At 35.2% G+C, this 12,321-nt stretch overlaps 1 protein-coding gene across 3 annotated transcripts in view; it reads right to left on the reverse strand.

Moving 5' to 3' along the window:
* The window catches only part of GABRB2 (gamma-aminobutyric acid type A receptor subunit beta2), a 259,969-nt gene that overhangs the window by 46,117 nt on the left and 201,531 nt on the right, over positions 1 to 12,321 (reverse strand). For all 3 annotated transcript variants that reach the window (NM_000813.3, NM_021911.3, NM_001371727.1), the window contains 2 exons: positions 2,080 to 2,217; positions 200 to 352 (listed from right to left, as the gene is read on the reverse strand). In NM_000813.3, coding sequence (NP_000804.1) covers positions 200 to 352; positions 2,080 to 2,217 — 291 coding nt within the window. The remainder of the gene's footprint in view (positions 1 to 199; positions 353 to 2,079; positions 2,218 to 12,321) is intronic.

Genomic DNA, 12,321 nt, shown 5'->3' on the forward strand with positions numbered 1-12,321 from the left:
ACATGAAAGAGCTTTACTTCGTGTTTAATTGATTTAATGCTGAATCAGATCACCCAAAGTCTCATAGCGAAACTCTTACAGTGTGAGAGGTTCAGTTGCGTCATGCACCACAAATTTCAGGATAAGGAAAACGCGTGCATGCGAACACAGAAATGTACACACAGAGTCAAAATCCACAAGCAGTAATAAAATGGCCTACCTAATGCCACCCTTGCAGCTGAAGCATCGTAATTAATCCAGAAGGAGACCCAGGAGAGGATGGTAATCAGGATGGAAGGCATGTATGTTTGCAGGATAAAGTAGCCAATGTTTCTCTTAAGCTTAAAGCTGAGGGATAACCTGGGATAGGAACCTAGAAAGGCAATTTTAGAACATCATCATTATCAATCAATATTTATAGGATACTTTTCTTTAAAGGTGCATAAACAGTACCTCTTCTCTCAGTTCAGTTTTAGCTCTTAGTGAAGGACACTTTCTTCTGCAAAAGTAGTCTGAGAGCCCTGAGTTTCTAATTACCAGGAGTTACTCAGTGTGGAATGCATCCTGTACTCACCAGTAATTAAAAGAATTCCAGCTCTTCCCTACTCAGCCTCATAGAGTGAATCAAACATACCCCTCCTCTGTAATTGTTAGGACAATTTGGGACAGTTCTTTTTTTCATTCTTTCAATTGTTCCTTAGTAAGTTCATCCTGTAAGTTTAATCTTATGTGAGAGTGAGGCTGCATGTTCTGGTCATAGTAAAAGAAAACTCTTCTCAAGACACAGATTGCAGTTTAAGTCTGTGATCAGTGGTGATGTTTCAGGGAATGCAGGTTTTTGTAGGTTTTCACGTATATGCTTCTTTTTTTTAATAGTTTCATTGCTTCCATTGGAGTTCTAAAAGTATACCTTATCAACCAAAAGGTGGAGACCCATTGCATTTGAGCAATATTTGTGGGAGATACAACTAAAGAATCAGCTTCCTAAATCTGGGTTCTTTGATTGGATGACCTGGGCAATTACCCTTTAATAAAACAAGACAAATAACAGAGCACAGTCTTAGACTATAGGAAGTTCACATGATAAGTAGCTTGGAGAGGATATTCTCATTGTTTGGAAGAAAGCCTTGTTTAGTTTTTGGAGGGCTAGGCTAAGTGTCTGAATACGATAGTAAGAATATTCTAAGTAGGAACTCATTTCCATAGATTTTTAGGAATTCAGCGGACCTCAAACTTAGGAAAAGTTTCTGTTTGTCGTTGTTGTTTTAAAGTTAAAGGCATTGTATTTTTATCAAGTCACAGAGCTTTTGCCTGAAGTGGTTTGTAGGCACAAAAAGTATGTGACTTCTTAGCAGAAGGGCCATTACAGTATTAGTTATTTCTGTGCCTGTGGGGTTTATTTCAATAAGAAAAATATAAAGAAGGATATCCCTGTGGGTTTAATATTTTTTGCCTAAATGAGTGTCTAGCAAATGATTGCTTTCCTCAGCTTTATTGCTACAAAAATGCAAAAATTTTGCTGATGAAATAAAGTATGACCATATAAAATCTCCATGCCGTAAGGGTGAAGATGGCAAAGGCCTCGGGATAATCTTAACACCTGAAACAGCTTTTAGCTCACACAGGAGGTGAAACTGTGTAAAGAAATTCTTATCCTTTGAAGAAAATGTGAATTCCTCCCATTGTCTTTGGAGAATTTCACGTGATCAGACTTGAATGAACTGCAACTCGGGTCTCCCAATCATAATCATAATCAAGGGATTATGGTCAATTCTGTGGGATGTATAATGTTATAATGTTGGGGAACAGCTCTGAGCCAGGTCTTTATTTCTCTTCCTGTATTCTTTCTAAAAATTAGTCGCTTCTCTGGCAAATGGGATACACAGAGATGATCCTCTCAGCTCTGCTGGGGTGGCCTCTGGAAAATAATAGTATGGGTCCCGAGTAGAACAATAGACTTCATGGGAAACTGAGGGTTTTCAGTGGATTTGTCTTGTAAAGTCATGGTGCTTCCCTGGGACAGAACTCTAATATAAGTGAACATGTTTAACAAAATACGGTGAAGATTATTTTCCCTTAACACTTTTCCATGATACAAACCTGTGGAAAAAACAACCTTCTTGGTGATAAGTTTGTAATCTACAATAGAGAACTGTGGAAGTTCAATTTTCGTTACTCCTGTTACTGCATTATCATCGCCACGCCAGTAAAACTCAATGTCATCAGTTGTGTATCCATCTGTGAAAGGAAACATACACACACACACACACAAATACAGAAAACAAAAAAAAAAAAACAGACAAAACAGAAAAAAATACCTGTTTAGAAGATGACCTATATAAATAATATAAAGATATAGCTAAAGGCTGTTATGTGTTTGGTATCATACTAAACATTTCAAGTCTATTACTGTATTTAATCCTCATGACGATCTCATTAGGGTAGTATAATTAGGCCCATATTAGACTTACAAAAGCTTAGAGAAATTAACAGCATAGATTCTCTTGCAACTAGGAATAGTATAGTTGGGACTTAATAATAAAATAGGAATAGGTGTAGTTGGGACTTAAACCCAGGTTTACCTGATTAGGAATCCCATTCTATCAAACATTATCACATTATCATATAACATTATCACATAACACTAGTTTTTACTTTATAAGAAGATAAAATAAGAGAACAATAATTTAAACTATTAGTATAATGCTGATTATCAAATTCTCCCCCAATATAAAATATATGAATTACAATACATTTGAATTTCAAGTCAGAAGAGAAGTGATTACGAAGAAGAATCATCTGTTCAATATTCATGTAGTTGATTTTCAAATTTGACTTTGTAGCATATTTAGTTTCAAAGAAAATCTTCCACAGAAAAACTCAAAACAACATTAACTCCAATCACTTTGAGGAGTAGATATAAATGCATAGTGTACACTGGACATGCACAGTGCATTTTGGAGGCATGCTTCCATTCATTCCACAACTATTTATTAAACACCTACTATGCATATCAGGGCACAGTTGCTGGGGATGAGAGTCTATATAACAAAGACATATTCTCTGTTATTAATGATACTCTCAATACACAGGGTGGAGTACAATCTTAAGAAGTGAGCACACATATAATCCTAGCTAGTAAGCAAACATATAACAGCAATGAATAAGCACATATTAGATTGTAAACAGTGCTGTACAGGGAAGTATGCCATAAAATCCAGTGAATATTAATAATATCTTACAAATTCACCCACCCTCCAAAAAAAAACCCAAATAAAAAGCATATGTCACATTCCATGTGAAGAGATATCACATTTATCTTTTCAAAGAACTTTTGCATCTGGATAGTTGATGTTCACAAGTCTGGGAGACAGGCAAGGTGGACATTGCTCTGCCATTTCCAAAAACAACCCAATAAATTTAAAAGACTGCTTAAATTCTTTGCCTTTTGACATGTGACTAGTCAGTGTGACAGAGATGACAAGAATACCAATCCTTGAATCTTAGCCCCAGATGATTTTCAACAAACCACTTCTCTTTCCTCCAAAGAGAGGGAGTTCAATCTTTAAAATAAGGTAGAAACAAATTTTTTTTTCAAAGAAGTAGGATACCTTCAATTGGAGAATCTACATCAAACAGCACAGCTCAGGCTGTATGGTTTAGCTTTCCTAGAAATCTACAGTTCCCTTTATTCATAAGAGTAGCCATCTTTATCTGATGCAGAACTACAGTTTTTTGGAAGAGTTATAGAGCATTTGAACTTCTAATACCACAACAGAAGCCCTCCGGATATAGTTAATGATTTTTAAAAGGCTTCTTTACTTGCAAACACCACAAACTATATTGAAATCAAAATTGCAGAGTTTTAACTGATTATACGTCAGCAATATTTTATTAGTATGATCTAACGTAGAGCCATCTGCTTTGCTATAAATTCTTTTTTTACATAACTTTCATTTAAAAGTAAATTTCAGGGCCAGGCACAGTGGCTCATGCCTGTAATCCCAGCACTTTGGGAGGCCAATGCTGGAGGATCACTTGAGGCCAGGAGTTCAAACCATCCTGGGCAACATAGTAAGACCTTGTCTCTATGAAAAAATAATAAAAAATTAGCCAGGCATGGTGGTACATGCTTATAGTCCTATCTACTTGGGAGACTGAGGTGGGAGGATTAAGTTCAGGAATTTGAGGTTGCGGTGAGCTATGATGGCACCACTGCACTCCAGCCTGGGTGACAGAGCTAGACTCTGCCTCTAAAAAATATATAAATAAATACATAAAAGTAAATTTCAGACTCATGATTTCAACATACATTCTAGGTATTAAGTGAATTGAACAGTAGGCAAATTCTCAGAAAAGAGCCCCTCGCTTCTGTATAAAATTTTCTACCCAATCCTGAGACATGAGATGCCTATCCCATAGGATAACTGTACTTTTCCTATGATTTCAACTTTCCTAATATGGTGACAAAATACTCAGTCTGAGGCTCCATGTCAAATGTAATCCAATTTCTTATCAGTTCTTTATCCATATCTCTCAGTTATGAAATCGTTCAGAGACAATGACAATCCTACCTTTGATAAACCAGTTCAAAATAACAAAATGACTACAGCTCCTAGAACTGAACTAAGTACTCAGAAATGCACTGTAAAATTTTTTATTACATAAACATGAAAAAGGTTATTTATGAAAAAAGATGGTAATCATTTCCCATGAAGTTAGTCTAACCAAGATTCTCCTTGGTTTTCCAAGATAGTAACTGGCAGCATGTTATAAAGTAGCAACTGCCATTTATTACGTTAGTTGGTGGTATATACTAAGCACTTTGTTAACTAGACACCAACCCTTTCTACAGACAGCTAAAGCCTCTACTTCAGGGATACTGGGTTTAAGATGCCCAAGAAACCAGTAGAGATTCTTATTTAGCTAATCAGGAATTGGCTTGGGGATCTGATTTTCTTTTTGATAAGCATTCCAGATAATTCTATTGTAGGTGACACATAAAAACACTGAGAACCACTTGTCTAGCAAATGAAAAAGATAATGATAGCAATTAAAATAAATGCTGTTATTTATTGAGTGATGTTATTCATTTTACTAGGAAGTCTATTAAGCACTTCACTTCCATTATCTCATTTAATCTTCACAACAATCATTTTATAGGTGAACAGTATTTATACACATTATTTGAAATAATGAGCCCTGATACTGCAAGTTAGTTACTTTTGTCTTTATCTCATCGTTGAGAAAACTAAGATTCAGAGAGATTAAGGACCTTGCTAAAAATCACACGTCTGGCAAATGATAGAGTAAGGACTTGATGCCATATCTATGTGACTGACCTCAAAGAAAGCATTTTTTTCCCACTGCATTCCCTGCCCCACCATTAGGACATAAAAAATACATGCTATGTTTAAGAAATGTCCATTTTTTTTTACAAAAAAATGCAGCCATCTTCCAAAGAAGAGAAAAGAAAAATGAAACAGTATTTCTTATATAAGGAACTAGGTCTAAACTAATAGAGTATATGTGGTCCTCCAGGTTTCTTTCCTCCTAATCTTCCTCAGTATTTACCTTCTTTTATCCATTGCGATAAATATTATAACAGAAGCTTATCTGTAGGCAGAGGAATGCGAATGTCTATAGCATTTCAACCAGGTTATATAAGAGATGCTGATTAGTTTTCCAACAGCAGAAACATTACTAGGAACTGCAAACTTTTGGCAAAATGACAGTGTTTGCTAGGCAATACCTCGTGTGAAGTAGGCACTCAGTAAACATTATTAAATTAATAAAACAATTATTTAATGCACATGTGACTTTGGGCTGGTGTTGGTTTATATAAATGCTTTCTCCAGATGTTTATATATTGTAAATGATCATGCACTGCATTTTTATTTCTGCCTCTTGCTCTTACCATAGTGCTGGCACACAGTTGGCACTAAATAAACATTTTCTGAGTGAGTAAAGAAACACCCAATAAAGAGAACTCTTTAGAATAATTCAAGGTTCTTCACTATATATTTCTCCCTATGTATTAGTTCATCCTAAGTTACTGCACATCTCTTTGTCTTTTGTTTCTCAACCTGTAAATTGCAACACTAATATAATAATAATGGCCACTTCATAGAGCTGTCAGGCAGAAAAAAAAAAGTAAAATGCTTAGAACAGCATCAGCAGATAATAACAAATATTTCAGTTGATAGTTATTCAAATAAGAATTATTAAAAATAAATGTAAAACATATTTTATGTCCCATTTTGTGGTTATTAAGTGAATACATACAATTTGCACAATGGAAAACATAGCTGTTCAACCACATTTATAGAACTCTCCAACGTTCTGGAAATTGCTAATAAGAAGTTTCAAAGTTATTTTGATGTTTTGGGTTTTGGAATCTGACACAATAAACACCACACTGTATTTACTTCTGGCTACTGCCTGTCTTAGAAAATCCAATCCTCTTGACTTTATTTTAGGCTAACCAAGAATAGAAGATTGCAAATGGAAAGCAAATGTTGCTATTGCATCATTGGTTTCTGAAGACGAAAGAGCAACGAGCTCCATGACAGTTCCAGGGTGGTCAAGTTAAAAGCCAACTCAATATACTATGTAGGATGAGTTTAAAGCAGACCTTGTTTTCTTCTTTTCTTTGGATATTCTCTGGAGGAATATTTAGCAGTCTCTCAAAGTGATTAAAAACTAAAAGAAAACATATGCAAATATATATGACCTGACTTTTACAGCTTTCATAATAATGATGAGTAAAAAAAAAATTAGATTTCTTTAAAAAGATATCAGAAGGAAATGCACTGAAGCACTTCGTTAATGTACTGCAAATTAAACTCATCATTTATATTTTATTCATGGGATTCCAGAAACTGAGTCATTAAATAATTTTGTATTGTTATATCATCAAAAACATAAGACACATAATAATTCAGAGGGCCTATAAATAAACTAAAATACAAATTCACTGGCATTCACCTGAAGAAATTAAAGCAATATGAAATGTTACAAGCCTCTGATCAGGAAAAACAAATATAAAAATCTATAAAATATATATCTATAAGATACGAATGGTAGATACGTTCTCATTGAAACATTGAGAAAAACATGTATTATATGTGATCTAAGAAATAGAAATACCATTTTAAAACATTTACACAATAACTAAATATGATCTCACAACTGTGACATTATCTGATTATATAACATGGCATTTTAAAAAGTTATTTTCTCTCTTTACTGTCAATCTATATATTTTGTTATCTACTAAGTCAATATTTCATTTTAGAATTGTTTTACTGTGCAAAAAATCTGAACCTGTGCCAAGATATTAAACAGCAGGAACCAATGAGAACATTTAGAAGAGGTGAATTAATGCCACTATTTATTTTTTCTTTTATATATATATATATATATATATATATATATACATACTTTATTATTATTTTTTCTAGTGGGAAATTAAGGTGACTTATTGTTCTCTCATTACTTTTTTAAACTTTGTTTCTCATTTGGATTGGTAAATATTCTAGGATTGTATCCAATATAACAATTGTCACACAGCAGTTTCTTTAATCTGTTAATTTTGTCATCATAACCAATTGGCAATCAATGAGAACTATGGGTCAATGTTATTGCGATAGTTCACACTAGTCATGGTGGTTTCAGTCTTTTAAGAACCATCTCAAAACGTGCATAAATTTAATGTGTACATCACAGCATTTTATGTGTACATCACAGCACTTTTTGAATAAAATACCTCATCATAAAATAATTTAACACATACCCTCCATTTGTATTTAAAATGTTGTATAGTTACTATTATTAGTCTGTAAATAACTATTAGTAAAACTTGATTTCTGTTCTGAGAAACACTAATCTGTAATGTGTTTCATGGAAAAGGGTTATGCAATCAATATATTTGGGAGTAACTACACATTTTGGCTCTCTATTATAGAGTCATAAAACATTTAAAACAGTAGTTTAGGAAAACCTGCAATAAATAATCTGCTTAATTTTACTTACTCCTGGAATATTCCAAATTTATTTAACCATATACATTTTTTAGCATATAAAAATACCCTCCCTGGTATAATCATTCCATAAAATACTGGATTGCAATTATTCACACATTTTAGGGAAGCCATACACAGTGCTATTTATTTATGTCCCCTCAAAAGCCAGGTAAGCACTGGAGAAGACCCACAGTTCCTCAGAACCATATTCTGATTTTTAGTGGGTTAACCATTTTTCCCTCCAAAAATGTTTCCAGGAGAGAAAAAAGTTGCAATAACATAGAGATAGAATTATCTTTTAATGGAGCAAAAGAGACAAATATTTCAGGGAAGCAGCATGATTGAATGTTCAGCCAGAAGGCAAGCATTCTTCTCATGACTAGCTTGAGTGACCATAATTAGAAGTCTGTCAGTCCACCGTTAGAATGAAATCCACTCCATGCAGAGGCCTGTATGCTCTGCACAGGTACAGGACTGAGCGCAGTCAATGCCAATTAGAGTCACTGGGATCTTTCGAGAGGCAGAGACAGATACACACTTCTCAGTCATAACTCTTTCAACTCAATATCGAAAGTGTTCCAAAGACACTCTGAGTGATTGCTCTGACTCCTTAATTGCATCTTATTCTTCACTCTGCTCTTTAGATGAACTGCTAGACACACATTTTTTTTTGCTGTCAAATCATTTCTAGACCTCAAGTAGCTCAAAATAATCGACCTAGGGTAGGTCAGGCTTGATTATCTAGTGGCATCTTAGTAAGGACACCATCAAGTAAGTCATGGTCCAGCATTCATCCTTCATCAGAGATGACCTATTTTTTTTTGTGCATGTTCAGTTTTTTGAATTCAAATCTTACGATGTAGGAGAATAGGAAATCGTTAACAATCAAGTAAAATGTCAGATTGTGGGTTTTAAAGACCATATATCTATTAAAATTCCAATGCAAAACTGTGTATTTGTTGTCTTTGTATGGGAGCAAGGTGATCTGGTGGCTGTTTCTACAAATTTGGCTCCACGATGTGTTTCTTAAATTTTCTTACGTATGTTTAGAGAGACTAAGCAGTTAATCTACTGACACAGGTAAAAGAAAGCAGTTAATAATAATAAACAAAATAGCCACAACAACAACAATAATATATAGCAGCTATCAACTATAGAGCCCTATGTACCAGGCACTGCCTTAAGCTCTTTATAAGGTCCGTCTCTACAGAGAACTGAAGTGTTATCATTATCAGGATTCTTCCCCTTCATCTAACCTTGATTTGTCCATATGCATGGGCTCTAAGTCCTAAAGTAATGTTGACAAGTCAGAAAACCTTTGGCATACAGAGTAGGCCAATGCTTCTTAAGCTAATGTGCACAGAAATCACTTGAAAATCTTGTGAAAATGCAGATTCTGATTTAATAGGTGAAACCCCAGATAGTGAAGTTCTGATAAACTCCCAGGTGATGCTGATGCTTTTTGTCCATGGACCACCCTTAGCATAGCAGGAGATTGGGAGATTTTTAATGAGCATAAGTCATTTGCCATGTGGTAAGTGTCAGGCAAGGAAAATCTTGTATCTAGCCGTATCCAAAGAAGAACAAAATTTTTTCTGAACAAAGGTTTTCATAAGCTCCAGCATTAAAATATTTTTTCCTAGTTCTATTTCCTTTACAAGGAATAGGAGGAAACATTGCTGATGCTGTCTCTATTCAGGGGCCTGGTTTCCTTAAATAGTCTATAACCTACAATCACCAATAGCAGAAAATACAGAGATGGGGCTAGGTCCAAAATTTTTCTGCAAATTTGTAGTCACGCTAGTTTTGTGTAAATATTTTGCCTCATTAGGCTAAGAATACTGCACTCTGGCATTGGATTTCTGCATCTTTTATTCATATTCTTCAACAGACTTGTCAGCAACCTTTTAGGGTTTCCGCCTTCCTCCAATTTATGCTACATATGCTGGTACTATTTGTTTTTTTAAAAAAAAAAGTTGATGGGAAACAACAGATGCTGGTGGGGCTATGGAAAAATAGGGATGCTTTTACACTGATGGTTGGAGTGTAAATTAGATTAACCATTGTGGGAGACAGTGTGGCTATTTCTCAAGGATCTACAACCAGACATACCATTTGATCCAGCAATCCCATTACTGAATATATACCCAAAAATTATTAATCATTCTACTATAAAGACACATGTACGCATATGTTTATTGCAGCACTGTACCCAATAGCAAAGACTTGGAACCAATCCAAATGCCAATCAATGGATAGACTGGAAAAAGAAAATGTGGCACATATACACCATAGAATACTATGCAGCCATAAAAAAGATGAGTTCATGTCCTTTGCAGGGACATGGATGAAGCTGGAAACCATCATTCTGAGCAAACTAACACAGGAACAGAAAACCAAACACCACATGTTCTCACTCATAAGTGGGAGTTGAACAGTGAGAACACATGGACACAGGGAAGGGAACATCACACACAGGGCCCTGTCTGGGGCTGGGGGCTAGGGGAGGGATAGCATTAGGAGAAATACCTGATGTTGATGACCGGTTGATGGGTGCAGCAAACCACCATGGCACGTGTATACCTATCTAACAAATCTGCATGTTCTGCACATGTATCACAGAACTTAAAATATAATTTAGAAAAAGAAAAAAATTTAATCAGTATACTTCATATTTGTGCACTTTGTATCTTATAGCGCAATAAAAATTTTAAAAGATGAAAAAAAGTTGATGATCTATTTCTATGCTTTAAAAACCAAAACAGAATAAAAAAACAAAAACATAGAAAACTCCTTGATGGATTTCCCAGTTGGGGAAGTGAGAATTTCCCACTTCAATTCAACTTCAATGCAAATTCTTCAGGCATTCAAAACTCCATCATTGTGGCTTCTACCTGCAGCCTCATTTTCTATTATTCTTATTCTTTTTTCAAATCTCTCATCTTTTGCTCATACTCTTCAGCAATCCTCAGAACTCCTTTGACCTCAAGGTTCTGGTTCAAGTTATTTCAGTTACTTGAAATATTTTCTCCTTTCACATCAAATTTCTGCACCCTTTAAAGACACATTTCAACTTCCAACTTTCCCAAGACACTATCTTGGTTTCCTTAAGGTGGAATTGTTCTCTCTTTACTCCTCTAATATTTCCACAGCACTCTAGTTGAATTTCTACTAGTGTGGTCCTCACAGCCACTTTTGCATTAGAGGATTTGTGGATGTGTTGGATAGTCTTCCCCTCTAGACTATCTTTCAAGAGGGTGAAGAACCATGTCCGGTCCTTCTCTATAGCTCTTTTCCTTCTTAATACAGGTCTTAATTCAGAGTGGCATTCACACAAGTTTTTCTGAACTGAACTGTCAACTTGCTAATCCTTTTACTTGTGGCTCCTCAGATCCCCCTCTGAGAATATAGTGATGAGCAGATGTCATTCGCAGAATTGCAAGGTAGTCGGATTGCAATCCTAAGCATCATTAGTGGCTTGGAATATGGAATATCCACGCACTTGTGTCAGAGTATCAGAGTCATCAAAAGAAAGGCAATGCTGCCAGTACCTGTTTATAAAAGGTAGCTACCAAGTTAGAGTAAAGGCCTCTGTGTTGAAGGAAACTTCTTGATGTTGCTGACTTTTAATTCGTAATTTCATTCCTAAGTTGAAGAAAAACTTCCTTTGAATGGCCATGACCCTCTGATAATAACTTTCACTGGCCTGATAGATTTTGGAAACCACTCTGCCACAATTTTCTCCAGAAGGAGCTAATACCTACAGCTCAAATGGAATAATGTTCCCTGGCGAAAAGTGGATATAGTCACACAGAAGAGTTTGTTAACTCAAAAGTGATAATGGAAGATGTTTAAATTAACAAGGCCAATTGAATGGTCCAGGTGATATGCACAAATGTGCAATAAAGTGTCAACTGTTACACCAACATATCTGCTTTCTAATAAGAGGTAACAGAGAAAGTAAAGTCCCAGCTGAATGATGTAGGAACTAGTCTGGGTCTCTCCATCTTAACCCATTCTTTTGTACATCTTCACTGGGATGGGGTCAGCTGAAGACTTGCTTATTTAAGGGATTGCAGGCAGGATGCTCCTGAAGATAAACTTTGGGTCTAAAAGAGTTATTAGTCTGTAATATGTACTGTTAGCGTGTATCTTGACTAATAAGACAAATTTTCATACTGTCCCTAAACTCTAGATATGAACCCTTATCTGTGCTATCCTCTCTTAGCACTTAGTACATTTAATTGAAATTATCTGGTAAGGAAATTATCTTTTTTACTCAACTATGAGTTTTTATTTAAACAGAGATCATTCATTC

The sequence above is a fragment of the Homo sapiens genome, chromosome 5 (assembly GCF_000001405.40).
Source record: "Homo sapiens chromosome 5, GRCh38.p14 Primary Assembly".
Classification (NCBI taxonomy): Eukaryota; Metazoa; Chordata; class Mammalia; order Primates; family Hominidae; genus Homo; species Homo sapiens.